Source organism: Homo sapiens, chromosome 21, assembly GCF_000001405.40.
Source record: "Homo sapiens chromosome 21, GRCh38.p14 Primary Assembly".
Taxonomy (NCBI): domain Eukaryota; kingdom Metazoa; phylum Chordata; class Mammalia; order Primates; family Hominidae; genus Homo; species Homo sapiens.
The window spans coordinates 25,384,068-25,400,034 of NC_000021.9; the positions used below are offsets into that span (position 1 = coordinate 25,384,068).

Genomic DNA, 15,967 nt, shown 5'->3' on the forward strand with positions numbered 1-15,967 from the left:
CCCAGGCTGGAGTGCAGTCACTGCAACATAAGCCTCCCGGATTCACACCATTCTCCTGCCTCAGTCTCCTGAGTAGCTGGGACTACAGGCACCCGCCACCATGCCCGGCTGATTCTTTGTATTTTTTAGTAGAGACGGGGTTTCACCGTGTTAGCCAGGATGGTCTCGATCTTCTGACCTCGTGATCCCCCCGCCTTGGCCTCCCAAAGGGCTGGGATTACAGGCGTGAGCCATCGCGCCCGGCTGGTAATTTTCATTCTTATAATTGCTGACTAGTTGAGAAGAAGAGGTCCCAAACTACAGAGAAGAAAGGAAGAAAGATGTGTCCAGTGAAATCCAGGGTCCCCCCGCTCCCATTCAAGGCCATCTGAAAGTATCTCCCCCTGCTTTTCAAGTTCATCGAATATGTTTAAGAAACCTGGAATTTCCAAGTCCATCAGCCTATTGAAACAAAACAGCTATAACTATAAAATTTAGATCCTTTTAAGATTTTCAATCCTTAGAATTAAAGATATTTATTACAAAATATAGTTGTATTAAATCATATATGTCAAAATATTACAAACGTGTATTTCATATTAGATAACTATCAACAACACAAAATTTCCTATCATTTTTCCTAGTGCTCCATTTTTTCAGACCTTTTCTTAATCTATTTTCTTGTCTGAGACCAAATACAAATGAATCAAAAGCCATTTCAGTGTTACATATTGGGTTTCCACGCATCCCTGTAGCATCTTTATCAGTAGCCTTGCGCAGAGTACACACTTTTGTACCTCCTTCTTATTAGCAACTTCATTTTTTCATAGTACAGAAAAGAATTCATATAACCCCATCAGGTTCCTTACATGGACCCAAGTTAAAACGCATCATCTCAATGTCAGTCTCTTGGCTGTCTGCAGGGTAATATGGTGAATTGCTGCCTGTGCTGTAATTTTGTCAGCTCTTTAGTAAATTACAGTCAAGGATAAAGAGGACAGAGCTGCCTACTGACAAACAACATTCTTTATTCTCCTTTTTCTACAATGTACTGAATAATACCTTAGAGCGTAAGTCATCATATACCCTATATAACAAATGTATAATTACAACACATGAAGCCCAAAAAATGAGCTTCAAAGAATATCACGTTTTTTTTTAAACAGGAAGTGGAAAGATGTTTCAGAAGAGTGAGCACAGGTTTTAGACTCTGAAATCTTTTAGCAGCATGATGCTTTTGAACATCTGATCTAGGTTTTGATTCTGCTAGCTACATGTATATTTTAGCCTTTGGTCTTGCATTAAAACACCAGTTGCAAATAATGTTAGAAAAATGGGGAATAGAGGAAGGAATATTTTTATTTACTTTATTTTTAAAATTCTGCATATATAAAGAACGTTGCTTGTGGCATCCCTGACTCTTTGCAACAACCTTATAAAGTCGTCATTATTAGCCTCATGTTACAGCAGAAGCTGTGAGTTGCTGCCAAAGTTGCTTACTATCAACCTCTGAAGAGATGAAACAGAGAGTCATACAAGATCTGTTTAAATCCAACAGCCTTTGACACTTTAAACTTCAGAACACATTGGATTTACACGTGTAAAATTGCCTTAGAGTTTGTAATTTCATGAAAGCAAAAATTCAACTTTTCCTTAAGAACAAATTTAGCATGTATGCCTTGAAACTGGCTTATTAAATAATATGAAAATGTTCATTGTGGCTATTTGGCCTCCTAATGCTTAGTTTTATTTAGCAAACATCAAAACAAAATATGTATTAATCCAAAGCAAATATATTTTATTTAATTGGATTATTAATAGTTCACTAACATCATACTGTAGGTATTTTTCTTTTCTATAAATGTTTTATATTCCAGTCTATTCAAAACCTTACGAACCAAATCCTTTAAAGGACGTAAGTCACACATATTTTCAAACCAACAAAATAGTAAAATTCAGGGAACATTAGATGGAATAGGGAAGATGAAATAAAGAAGCAACTAAGAGATTTACAAGAATGGAGTTCTTCTGCCACCTTGTGGTTGTTCTGTGTTATAACCTAGAGCTACATTAAAATATTCAGGGAATTCTTCAGCCAGAGTCTCTTTAGCCAGGTGTGGCGCGTGGCTGAGCTCTGGTCAATGGAATGTGGCCTTGGTCTTTATTGACTGTGGTTATCGTGTTTCCATTTTTTTCTTCCTGAATATCATAGCTAATTTTGGTATTGGCGACGACCGCTTTCTTAAACTTTCTCTTCTGCTGGGTTTAGATTTTTCTCTCCTTGTTTTTCTCCTATGAAACAAATAAGCATTACTAGATTTCATCAAAGATCATCACTTCATCACATCAAAGATTTCACTTCACTCTAGCCAAACTGGCCTCCCTGATTCTCCTGCAACACCTCACACATGGTCCCCTTAGGGTCTTCTACAACTTAACATCCCTGGCTGCAACACTTTCCTCTGATACCATATGGGACCTACTCCACCTCTTTCAAGTCTTTGTTCAAATGTTTGTTTTTCAATGACCACCATATTTAGAAATGCAACTTCTGCTAACAAACTCCTTATTATTTTTATCTTACTTTATTTTTTACTGCAGTTATTCTAACATACTACATAATTTTAATACTTATTGTGTTTATTGTCTTTTTTACCATAGAATATAAAATCCATGAGGGCAAGGGAGTTTGTTTACTTCACTGCTGTGTGCTCTGAAACAAACAAACAAAAAAAACTGCCTGGCACATTGTAGGCGCTCAAAAAATATTTGTCCAATTACCGAATGAAAGAATTATAACTCCTTCTGTTGGCTAAAGCAACCTACGGGACAGTGTTTAGCCTCACAAGTATTCAGACACACAAATTAACACAAAGTATCATTTTTTTCTACAATATTAATTAGTCAATTTATGTGACCTTTAAATATAATTTCTAAAGCAAGCGAGAATTCAGTGGATTACATACCCACATGTTTTTGTTAAATTATTTGTAGTTATTTTTAAGTCAGTTTGCATAGTCATTAAAATTTTATAACCTTTGACCCAGTAATCCCAATTTAGGACATGTATTGCAATGAAAAAAATCCAAAACAAAGAAACATGTAGGTTCCATGTGGCCATTTACTGCAGTATTGTTAATAATGATAATAAGCTGAAAGAAACTACATGTTTAATAATAAAAATAATAAATTAAATTAGGTTAACTCTATGCAGTGAACTATTTTGCAACCATTATAATCATAAGGACTGTCCTAGAACCTGAAAAATCATTTATGGAACATGCTATATTACAGTGAAATTTTAAACTATGTAATTACACAGTTTTTACATGTATATAGGAAAAGATTACAAGGAATGTGCAAAACTTAGAATTCTTACACATGGGCAATAAATTAAATCTTACTGTTGCCTTCATTTCCCAAATGTTCCAATTTATCACCAGAGTTTTTGCAACTCTTTAGTATTTGAAAGGAAAAATAATTGTCTTATTCTCAAGTGCTTAACCTTCACCTGAAGTGAATTTGTTCTAAGTTCCAAAAAGCGATTATTACTTGCTTTCATTGTATTCATCAAGAACAATTTACATCTCTGTGGAAATAGCTTTAGTTAGAGTCATTAGTTAGATTTAGTTAAAGTCTTTAGTTAGATTTACTTACATGAAATGAGACATTTATCCAATAAATTCAGGCTGAATTTAACATTAATTCAAGAATTAAAGTGCTCTTCGTTTTTAAATGTGTCTGTTCCACCTAACTACCTGCATGGGTTTAGCTTATAATTGGTTCTATGGATATGACTAGGTCCATCATCCTGTCACATTTGAATAAATAGGACTGTCTATAACCGTCTCTGTTTTACACACATCTGTGCCCATCAGTTCATAGCACATTCCCCAAAAATTAATGGGAAACAGCCAGGAGAACAGGGGGTTAGACAAAGGAACTCAAGGCTTGAAGTGACCTCCTCAAAAACTGGCTTCCCCCGCCCTTGATAGCTGAACTGACCTTCAGCCCTAACCAGATCTTGTTTCCTATCATCTTGCTTCATCTCTCCTTCCCTACCAGCTCTCACTCAGGCCAGCCTTTAGCTTATGTCTGATGTGGCCTGACTTACTGTTGAGACAGGTTTTTTTCCCAGGTGCCTTGCTTAGCAAAGATTTTGGTTGTGTGGATTTTGCTGTGTTTGGATTTTGGCTATGCCCTAGTCCTACTGTTGTAGGATTTTCTCCTTAGTTCACCTAAAAGCCAGGTCCTTGTCACACAGCCATGAAATATTAGGCTCACAGACACTTTAAAGGGTGAGAAAAATGGAATTTATGGGGCAAAAAGGAAAAAATGGGAAACGGACTCAGCAGAGAGAGAGTCCTGCTATACATGCTTCCCTCCTCACAGATTGAATCCCGGTTTCCACCCGGGAAGAGGAGGGGTCAGCCTCCTCCCCACTGCAAACGGTGCAAACTTCTGTGGCTCCACCCCAGTGCTCACTCTTCCCAGTGTGCAGGCTGCCTGAAGCTTCTCTGTGGACCCCTTTCCACTTGGCTGTCTCACTACCCTTACTGATCACTATGAGAGGTAGCGCCCTCCCTTGCATTGTCTCCCGTGTGCGTAACTCTCTGCCACCTGCCACTCCCAAACTGACAGTGTAGGGATTAACTTTTTGGGTCATACTATTAACTCCTCAGTGTGAAATGAAGTCAGACCAACCATTCATTGATTCTCTTCCTTGTAAAGCTAAAGATTCACACGATAAAAACAAACAAAAACAAAAGACAAAGAACCTAAACTCTCTGTATGGGCCCTCTAAAGACCCTCCCTAGTGGGAACATTTCACTCCTCACCCCACTGTCAGGTTTGCCGCATGGCTTACTTTGGATTAAAAAAGGTGAGCAAACTTTATATTCTACATCCAACAGAAGCTTTCGGAGCCATCACATCACCCTTCCATTGCTTTGTATTCCCTCTGCCAAAGACTAACAATATCCTAAATAAGGGCTGCTTCTTCCACTGAAGTCCAGAAATGAATCAGAGCAACTGTCCTGCAATGAAATTTAAAAAGAAAACAAAAAACAAAAAAAAACAGAAAACCAAAACCAAAACCAAACCAAACAAACAAAAAAACTGTGTTATTATAGATTACTAAAATTTTTGGAGTCATATGTTACCACACATAACTCAGCCAACACTGCCTAATAAATCATATTTCTCCCTAACAACACTTAAGGAGACAGCATGTTATAGTGGGCTCACTGGCTACCTGTGTAACCTTGGACAAGTTACCTAATCTCACTGCACCATCTGTAGCATTGAGATAATACCTACTTCGTCAGGCTGTTGTAATACATAAATGAGTATATAATAAATGCTTAATAAATGTTAGCTGCTGCATATTACAGTTATTCTTCAACAGCATTGATTTTATCCTAATCCTGTGTATTCAGTATCCAGCAGAGTGTCCAAATCCTATAGTACTCCATCTAGGTAAATTTTCCAAATGTCTTTAATTGACTATTTCCTTTTGGTTAGTCTCCTCATATGGCCCCTTTCATCGGCTTCCTTTTGCCATCAGTTTTTTCTCTTTTCCCTTTAAACTAGCAAAGACTTTATAACATATATTTAAACAGGATCCAAATACCTTTGATATGGTTTGGCTGTGTCCCCATCCAAATCTTATCTTGAATTGTAACTTCCATAATCCCCACATGCCAAGGGAGGGACCCAGTGGGAGGTAATTTAATCATGGTCGTGGATTTTTCCCGTGCTGTTCTCCTGATAGTGAATACATCTCACGAGATCCGATGGTTTTATAAAAGGCAGTTCCCCTGCACACGCTCTGTTGCCTGCCACCATGTAAGATGTGCCTTTGCTCCTCCTTCGCTTTCCGCCATGATCGTGAGGCATTACAGTTCCACAGCCATGTGGAATTGTGAGTCCATTAAACCTCTTTTTTTAAGAAAATTACCCAGTCTCAGGTATTTCTTCATAGCAGTATGAAAATGGACTAACACAACCTTCAGAATATTCAGCTCATCTTCACTTAATTCTCTGAATTTTGTACTTTCATATATTTCAACCTGTTCTTTGCCTTAAACCAAACTCCAAATAAATAATTTTATGTACCAAAATTTCTGCTCAAAGAACATTCTAGGACATAGTATGCTCAATTTGTAAATACTTAGAAATACCTTAAAAGGTCACAAGTTATGGTGGCAGAGTCTCAAGGAAAACCCTTTTTAGAAACCATTCTTTTCTACTTTCATGTTCTTAAGGGTGGGGAATAATCTTCTTTTCTGTTTTCTCTACATGAGACAATTATACAAAAAGACAACCTTTGTTTCTTAGAAATCCTATAACTTTTGTGTCTTTAGTTTCTTTATAGCCTTCTATTTTTCCCACACAAAACAACTTTAATCATCTGTGACACTGATTTTTATGGCAACCCATTTTCCTGGATTCTATAAACAGAGACACAGGCTTTAAATTACCAAAATCACACTGTTCAAAAACACCTCATTTTTCAAGGCAAGAAAATAAAATAAAAAGTTCTTTCTCAAAGTCAAAACAATTCTTTTCTGCTCAGCTTTCTAGATGCCTAAGGGCTTTTTGGTTGTTATTATTCCCTGACTTTCTAGCTATCCACCTGACCTTCAGCTTCTCTGTCAATCCAATTGGTTCATTATTTCCTTGCCAAAATCATCTTCTTAAAATTTAAATTTGATCATTTTACTTTCTGGGAAAAAAACCTCCATATGCTCTCCAATAGCAATAGAACAAAGGCCAAATTACTTTGCATAATCCTAATCACTATCCATTTCTTTCCTAATGCCCCTTCTTCACCACATTCCTGTGATGTCATCTACTTCCCCTTCTCTGGCCTTATCCCACAGCTCCTTTCCAGTCTCCTCCTCTTCATTCTAGACCTATGAATGTAGACATGCTCCACAAGTACATTTTCAACCTTCTGCTTTTCTCTCTGGATATCCTCTTCCCAGAGAGCTCAAATGTTCCCAAGTTGTCCCTGATAATACCTCCAAACACCACCTTGAGCAGTGCTACCCAACAGAAATACGTCAGCTGCAAACAAAAACTACACATTTTTAAATTTTCCAGTAGCCACATTTAAAAAGTAAGGAGAAGCTGATGAACTTATTTTAATCATATATTTTATTTAACTGAATATATTCAAAATATTATGATTTCAACATGTAGCTAATATTCTTAAATTGACATATTTTACATTTTTTAACTGTCTTGGAAATGGATGTACATTACACTTACAGTATATCCCAGTTAGGATTAGCCACATTTTGTTAGCCACAGTCTTCAATGGCCACATGTGCCCAATGGCTACCATATTCAACAGTGCAGATCTAATGCTCTAAACACTTTCTCAAAGTATGCCTTTGGTAACCCACTCAACATCTACCCAAGAATGCCCTCCCAGCACTTCAACCTCCAGGTCTAAAACAAAATACATTTCCCTCCTACATTTCCTAGTGCCTCACAAAAGCACCAGCTCCCCTTCCTGACTTCCTTGTAGCTACCAGTAGGCCCAAAAATATACCGATATTTGGGTTCTATAACTATTGAAATATTGAGGAAGCAGAAGGAATCTTTCAGGTCATCCTATCCAACCTCTAGGATTTTCCTCTACAGAGTGGTTTCTAACATATGGCTAAAGCTTCTGTGAGCCTCCTGATATTGTAGGCAAAATGTCCATACCTGGATTTTTCTGGCAAAAATGTATCTTTAGCTTTAAACAAGAGTTTAAACACCATGACCCAGGCTCAGCTCTGCCTCTTCTCTCTTCTGTAACGGCCACACCCAATTTATTACCAAATCCTGATCACTCAACTTTCCTGATCTCTCTAATGCAAACCTACTTCTCCCTTCCCACTGCCACTGACTTAGAATTATGTGCATATTTCTTGGAGTGCTTTAGCTACGAGAGCAAGAGACTCTGCCAGGGATCAACAGGGCCAGTCTGCTATTAGCAAAAGAGCAGCTATAGCATAATCACACATGAATACCCATAATAGATTCAGCTAGGCCGAAAAGATTAGAAAACAGAATCAAAACCAGGGCAGCAGGAAGATGAACTCTGACTAGTGCTGCAAGCCAGACTGTACCAAGGGATGTCTCAGCCATTGAAGAGGTCATGTCTGACACACCACTGGGGTCCTTGGTTTGTAGATCTCAGTGCTCTGAGGAGAGGATGGCTGAGTTGTTTTGTTTTGTTGTTTTCAGGAACCCTCAGTATTTCCCTGTTCAGGTACCTGGGGCAAACTTGGCCTTCCTCTCCTGTGCTTGCACCCATGCCAAACAGATTGGTTCTCATTTGCACAAGATATTTTCTGGTATCCTCAGGTTACCAGAATTGGGGAGGCATTTTAGGGGAACATTCTCTGTGTCTGAGTAGAGATTGCTTCCCTCCAGAGTCTGGTGATTCCTCCAAGTCTCTACCTTTTCCAGATTTGATAACAGATTTCTGGAAGTTGGACTTTGGACTACAGCCTCAACAAATGATATTATCTCATTTATTTATTTATTTATTTATTTATTTATTTTTTGAGACGGAGTTTTGGTCTGTCACCCAGGCTGGAGTGCAACGGCGTGATCTCGGCTCACTGCAGCCTCCACCTTCCAAGTTCAAGCTATTCTGCTTCAGCCTCCCAAGTAGCTGGGACTACAGGTGCATGCCACCACTCCCGGCTAGTTTTTGTATTTTTAGTAGAGACGGGGTTTCACCATGTTGGCCAGGCTAGTCTAGAACTCCTGACCTCAAATGATCCACCCACCTTGGCCTCCCAAAGGGCTGGGATTACAGGTGTGAGCCACTGTGCACAGCCTGGAATGCACTTATTTTAAAACAAATTTATTCAAAAGAAATACACTTATTTGAATCTGGGCTAAATATGATAGATGAAATGGTAATTTAGAATGTCCAAGCTCTTCTCAATAATGTAAGAAATCTCTCTTATAGCACACATTAATATTATGACTTAAAGGTCCTTTTCAAAAAACTAAACAACAAAATAAAAAAGGAAGAAATTGAGGGGAAAAGGAAGGGAAGGAGAGGAAAAAGGCAGAAGAGAAGATGGGAGGGAGAGAAGGTAGGAGGACAGAAGGGAAATAAGAAGCAAGAAGAGAAAGGAAGGAGAGAGGGATAAAATGAGGTTAAAAAAAGGAGAGAAGAAAAGTAAGAAAGAAGAAAGGGAGGAAGGAGAGAAGGAAGGAAAGAAAGAGGTAGAGAGAAAAAGGAGGGAAAAACACATCTCAAATCACGTTAATATAGTAGATGCAATGCTTTATTAATCGTGTAGAAAATTAGATCAATTAATCATTACTTTTCCAAGTGTAATTAAAATATTAAATTATTTTGCTTGCATTAATCATGGTTAGTGAAAAGCTACTAACACCACTTTTTCTGTAAATTTTTGTTAATAAATCTAGGGAAAATGCAGTTATTTGGAAAAATTAAACAAAAGCTTTTAAGCTGAAGGATTATAATTTGAAATTCTTTGCACCTGTGATTCTTCCAAAACAGCTGGAAGATGGGATCTTTGTTGCCCTCATCTTATTCTGTGTGTGCTGTATGATGCAATGATGAGGTTCTCTAGATTCTGAAGTCAAATCTGGACTCCAGAGGGGAATCTGGAATTTTCAACGTTTGCTAATAGATAACATAAATACAACTCACTCATTCAGTCTTATTGCTTAGCAACAGCAGAAAATGCATCTGGTATGTGCCTTGCCCTTAGTAGTTCAATACTCATATGTGAAAAATTATTATTTTTTGTGTTTTGGAATATTGCTAATGAACTACAGATAAGGCAGAGAGTGTAATGAAAACAAAAATAAAATGGAAATATATAAATAAAAAAACACAAATTACCATTTCTTTCTGTAAATCTTTGTACATTTGGGGGAAATCTATATTTGCAGGAATTTGGAGGAAAAATCAACATGAAACAAAGGTTTTTCAGGTGTTCATTAGAGTGTGACAGGTAGGGCTCTCTGGAAGAAACAGGGAGGTGGGGTTTGAGGTCACAGCCTATGAAGGGAAGGGAGGGGAAGCAGGATTATGCAGAAGCCACTCTGGGATGCAGGTTCCTCCAAGATGATCCATGTGCTTTGTTTCCTCAGAAAATAATACACTGGAAACACTTTGGGGCCTTTTGTTTTTTTTTTTGAGACCGAGTCTTGCTCTGTTACCCAGGCTAGAGTGCAATGGCGCAATCTTGGCTCACTGCAACCTCCACCTCCTGGGTTCAAGCAGTTCTCCTGCCTCAGCCTCCCAAGTAGCAGTGATTACAGCTCACGCCACCATGCCTGGCTAATTTTTTTTTTATTATTATTTGTTGGCTAGGCTGGTCTCGAACTCCTGATCTCAGGTGATCCACCTGCCTCGGCCTCCCAAAGTAGGGGACATTGTTTTTAAAAAGTTAAAGGATACAAAATTAAAAAGCTAGATAGGAGGAATAGGTTCTAGTGCTCTACACTACTGTAGGATGATTATATTGAATAATAATTAACAGTAGAGTTTCAAATAACTAAAAGAAGGATATTGAATGTTCCCAATATGAAGCAATGATAAATGCTTGATGACAGATATGCTAATTACCCTGATCTAAGCACCATATATTATATGTATCAAAATATCAATATGTACCCCACAAACATGTACAGTTATTGTGTGTCGATGTTAAAAAGAAAAAAGAAAAATAGTTTGGATGGATCCTCAAAATGTTCTATCTCATTCAGCTTCCATAAGTGACATTTATTAAAAGTTTTTGATTAAAAAGGAAACTTTTTATGAATTATGATTGTGACAAAGATTCTGTGCTTGACCAAACTTTGGTCCAGCTTGTGAATGTTCTCCGAGGCCTATCTGTGCACTTTCTTATAAAACACGGTTTTAGAAGAACCCTGCTAACTTTAGCAAGAACCCTCCATCCTTGATATCTGATCAGGTTCCTAACCCTCCACCATCCCCCAGATGATATCTGATCATCCTGGTCTATCCTCAGCAAGAATCTAATTAGTTCAGTTTGGCCAGAATCCTGCTTACTCCTGGTGTTATTTCTTAGCAATTTTTCATGCATGACTCCCGCCTTGCACCTTGGCTATAAATTCCCTCTTGCCAATACTGTATTTGGAATTAAGCCCAATCTTTCTCCCCACGGAAAAATCCCGCTGCAATGGTCCCCATATTATAATGGTCCTGGATAAACTGCCTGTTTATTTGAAGTATGGTAGTACTTTAAAGTGTCATTGAGTTTTTTTTCTTTAACCATTATTAGGGAAATACACCAAAATGTTAACATTGGTTGTATTTTTTCTGCTTCTATGTACTTGTCTTCATTTACCTGTTATCAAGAGTAAGCATGTATAACTCTTAAGGAAGTTATAATTATACAATAAAAACCCAACACCAAAAGGGGTGAGACAAGTGTTTATGGGGCAAAGAGTGTGAAATGAGAAAGTTTGGATCTAAAAAATTAAAAATTAACAATGGTTTATTTTGATTGACTGGAATTATAAATAATTTTATTTCCAAATTTCTTTCTTTCTTTTTTTTTTAATGGAGTCTTACTCTGTCTCCCAGGCTGGAGTGCAGTGGTGCAATTTTGGCTCACTGCAGCCTCCACCTCCCGGATTCAAGCGATTCTCCTGCCTCAGTCTCCAGAGTAGCTGGGATTACAGGCAACTGCCACCACGCCCAGCTAATTTTTGTATTTTTAGTAGAGACAGAGTTTCACCATGTTGGCCAGGCTGGTCTCAAACTCCTCACCTCAAGTGAACCGCCCTCCTCAGCCTCCCAAAGTGCTGGGGTTACAGGCATAAGCCACCGCGCCCAGCCTACTTTTCCAAATTTCTTATAGAGAGGAGTTATTACCTTTATCATGGGGAAAAAAGCAAGTCCTTCAAACACTTTTGATCTTAAAATATATTTAAAATATAAAATAATGAACCTGGTGGAGACGTTAACCTTGGGTAGCTGACACAGGTACTTCTCCAAGGAGAGAAATAAACAGTTGACATAGCTTTAAGTCTTCCTAAACTCAGGTTGCAATAGGAGCAGTACAGTTTGCTGAGAGGGACAGTGAACAGCAGTATTCGGAATAGAGGAGCGGCCTCCAGTACAATGACTAGTTAGAGGTTCTTTCGGGGATTCTCAGGGTTTCTGAAAGTGGAAATGCCTCTTCATCTGGAGCACTTTTGAAAGGGACCTCGATCTATCTTTCCTCCATGCAGGGGGCTTTCCAAACACATCATATGAAAATTACAGCAAGTGGCATCTGTCCTGTTAACATCCCTCTCCCCATGAGTCATTCAGGTGTTCATCACACCCACAGACCCTCCACTCACACCACCATCTCCCACCATCAAAATTATTCGTACCAGTGTGACTAGAGGCCTGCTGGATTCTCCCCTCATCCACTCAGAGGATGTCTCTTAGAAACCATGCCAAGCAGGGTGCGAACCATCCAACTCCAAGCAAAGCCTGTGCTGCCGCAACTCTGCCTCACGGACTCAAAGACTGTCACTGGTGGTCACAGAATTAGTCAACAGGAACTTGACTGTACTGGGGGAAGTTTTCCAGGCCTCATCTCATCTCTCAGTTCCAAAGAGCTAATCTGAGAAATAAATTAAACCTTTTACAGTATTGCTGCTGTAAAATCAAAAGGAAAATCATAAATGTTGTAGAAATTGCAATCTTGATGCCATTTAAAATGCCATATCTTTTCAGTCAACGCAATGCCTAGGTTATATTTTTCTCCTTTAAATCAAGTAGGCCACTTAAAGAGATAATCTGAATATGAATACATTCTACATTATAACACAGAAGAGATAGAGATTAAATGGATTTTTAAAATTTTAGAAACTTGGAATGAATTGATTCCATAATATATATATATCTCCTTCAGAGAATTATTTTACTTTAAAATCTCCAGTGAAAGATATTTGAAAGCCATCTTTGTTTTTATGTATATTTGAAATTTCTGATTGATTTTGCAATGTAATCTTTTAATAGTCTTAGAATATATTCCATTTTTTAAAAATCATTTCTTTTGTTTCTGAATTTAAGATGTATAATCATCTTATAATTGTATAAAATATTCTAAAAAGCATTGCAATCTAATATCTGATTTTACGGAATTAATTTTTTATTCTATACAAACAGAGTCTTAACTAATTTCAGGGAGAATGATCTGTTTGTAATTTAACCTTCAAATTAAAATCCAACTAGCTATAAGCTTTTAGATGCCTGCCTCATAGGGAATGAGATATTTATGAGGGAAGTCTAATGGTTAAGTCCTAAAGTCTTCCCTTGGAAGAAGGATAAAAGGTTTCTAATCATTGAATTTTTAAAAAATCATTAATGAAGGTATTAACTGGACTAAGGCATAAGGGGTAAAGAGTGGCCTTTAATGAGATTTGAAGACTTGTTCTAGAATATATGTTTTGCCAGAATAAAACATGTATCTTCTGATGGGATTTGGAAAGGTAGCTACCAAACCAGGGAAAAGAGTCCATTGGAGAGGGGAGAATGGAAACACTTCTACCTGGCGCATGTAGGGTACAGGTGGGTATGGAAGGCGCGATATGCGAATATAGGGTTTATCCCCAGGCGTCAAGGTACATGAGAGGTGGGAAACAGTGCTCAGCACAAGTGAGTGCCATATACTGTTTATTCTTAACAGGTCAAAAGACAACAAGAATGTATTAGGCAGCAAAGGGGTATTACATCACTCTGAGTAACACCATGTGTGTTAGAGCTGACTATTCTAGGTATATTTGTAGCCACCCTTGGTGTAAAAGATTTTTTTTAATTTATTTATTTAGGTATGGTTCATTGCCCATTTAAACTTAAAGCAAATGTAATTTTTGGCAATCTATTTCCCTAGTTTAAATTTGTCGCTGTTGATTTGGTGAGAGCCACTCACAACATAGATGAAAAGGCATATGGCCAGGCACAGAAAGACAGACACTGCATGATCTCACTGAAATGTAGAACTAAAAAAGTCGAACTTATGGAAGCAGAGATTAGAATGATGGTTACCCAGGGTTGAGGGCAGAGGGGAGAATCGGGCAAAGGATACAATATTTCAGTTACATAGAGGGAATACGTTCAAGAGATCTACTGTACAGCATGATGACTAGTTAAAAACAATGTACTGAATACTTGAAAATAGCAAAGAGAGTGGATTTTAAATTTTCTTACCACAAAAAAAGTTTACTATCAGTATGCTAATTAGCTTGATTTAGCCATTCTACAATGCATACATATTTCAAAACATCATATTTTATACCATAAATACATACAAATTTATTTTCAACTAAAAAAACTAAAATAGCATATGGGTTAACACAAATTATCATTTAAGGCGCTATTTAATTGAAGCAGTTATTTCATCTAGGCTTGAGGCATCACTGTATTCTAAAAATGAATGGTTTCAAGTTCTAGATCCACACACTGCTGGCTTAAATAAAAGTCTACATGGGGACCTTGAGTGTAACAGAAGAGCAGCAGACACAGAGGGCCTGAGGGTAAGATACAGATAGTGGGAGAGAATAAGCAGGCTGGGCCAAGGATTAGCTTTTATCCGTGACCTCCAATTACAACTGATTATCTGCGTTGTGACCACAGAAGAATGAAAATTATTTGCAGTTAGAATCAGGATCCATGAAGTTACACTTTATGTTCATATTTCTGAGTATAACATTAAATATATTTATTGCTCTTTTCTCCTACAAAAGGGGAAGTGACCCCCTTTTTAAGGACCTGCTTAAAAACATACAAAAATCCTGGGCAACTTTCTTGGTGTAGGAATTGCTTTATAGTAGTCGAACAGAAGTGATTATTCCATTGGTAATTCTGCACCCAGACAAGCTTGATATATCTATTGAGGACATATGTAAAGTAAAAAAAAAAAAAAAGTTCTCATATAGTCCTCAAAAATGCTAATTGAAATAAATTTGTACTTTCCTTGGGCTGGATTTATATTAGAACATTTAATTTCAATTAAACAGACAACCTTTAAGTCATGAGATAGCTGAATAGAACCCTCCAGCAATTATTCCCAAACAGGAGCACCAAATTGAAAAACTACTCAAGCAAAAAAGCACCTTCATAAAAGCCAAAATCAGGTGAACGATCACAGTACCTGATTCTGACATCATATCAAGGAAAGAGGCACCGATGGGGTTAGGAAAGGCAGGCCTGCCCTGTATACAGCACTTCTCCCTTACCCTCCAGCAGCAGCAAGTGGAGGGAGAATCTGTGTGCCTGGGGGAGGGAGAACAGAGTGACTGTGGAACTTTGCATTGGAACTCAGGGCTGCCTTGTCACAACGGAACACAACACAAGCCAGTGCTCACTTAGCTGAATTCTGAAGGAAACACCAACCCCAGCCAGAGAGGAACGCTGTGTCCCAGTGGTAGGAGTTTGAGACCCAGCTAGCTCTGCTACCAGCTGACTACAGGGGCCTGGGGCCCAGGATAAATTTAAAAGGCAATCAGGGCCGGGCGCAGCGGCTCACGCCTGTAATCCCAGCACTTTGGGAGGCCGAGGCGGGCGGATCACGAGGTCAGGAGATCAAGACCATCCTGGCTAACACGGTGAAACCCCGTCTCTACTAAAAATACAAAAAATTAGCCGGGCTTGGTGGCGGGCGCCTGTAGTCCCAGCTACTCAGGAGGCTGAGGCAGGAGAATGGTGTGAACCCGGGAGGCGGAGCTGGCAGTGAGCTGAGATCGCGCCCCTGCACTCAGGCCTGGGCAACAGAGAGAGGCTCCATCTCAAAAAAAAAAAAAAAAAAAAGGCAATCAGGCCACAAGGGTTTCACAAGGACATTCCTGGTGCTGTGCTGAGCTTGAAGCCACTAGGCTTGATTTACCTACAACCCAGTGAAACACCAGCTGTGGTGGCTAAGGGATTGTTTGTGTCAACCTCTCCCCCAACTCCAGGCAGCGCAGCTTTCAG

The 15,967-nt window shown here is 38.5% G+C and overlaps 1 long non-coding RNA gene across 1 annotated transcript in view; it reads right to left on the bottom strand.

Moving 5' to 3' along the window:
- Positions 1–1,752: 1,752 nt before the first annotated feature.
- LINC00158 (long intergenic non-protein coding RNA 158) overlaps positions 1,753–15,967 on the bottom strand; it is a 45,882-nt gene continuing 31,667 nt past the window's right edge. Inside the window, exon 5 of the long non-coding RNA NR_024027.2 lies at positions 1,753–2,271. This is a non-coding gene — a long non-coding RNA (long intergenic non-protein coding RNA 158). The remainder of the gene's footprint in view (positions 2,272–15,967) is intronic.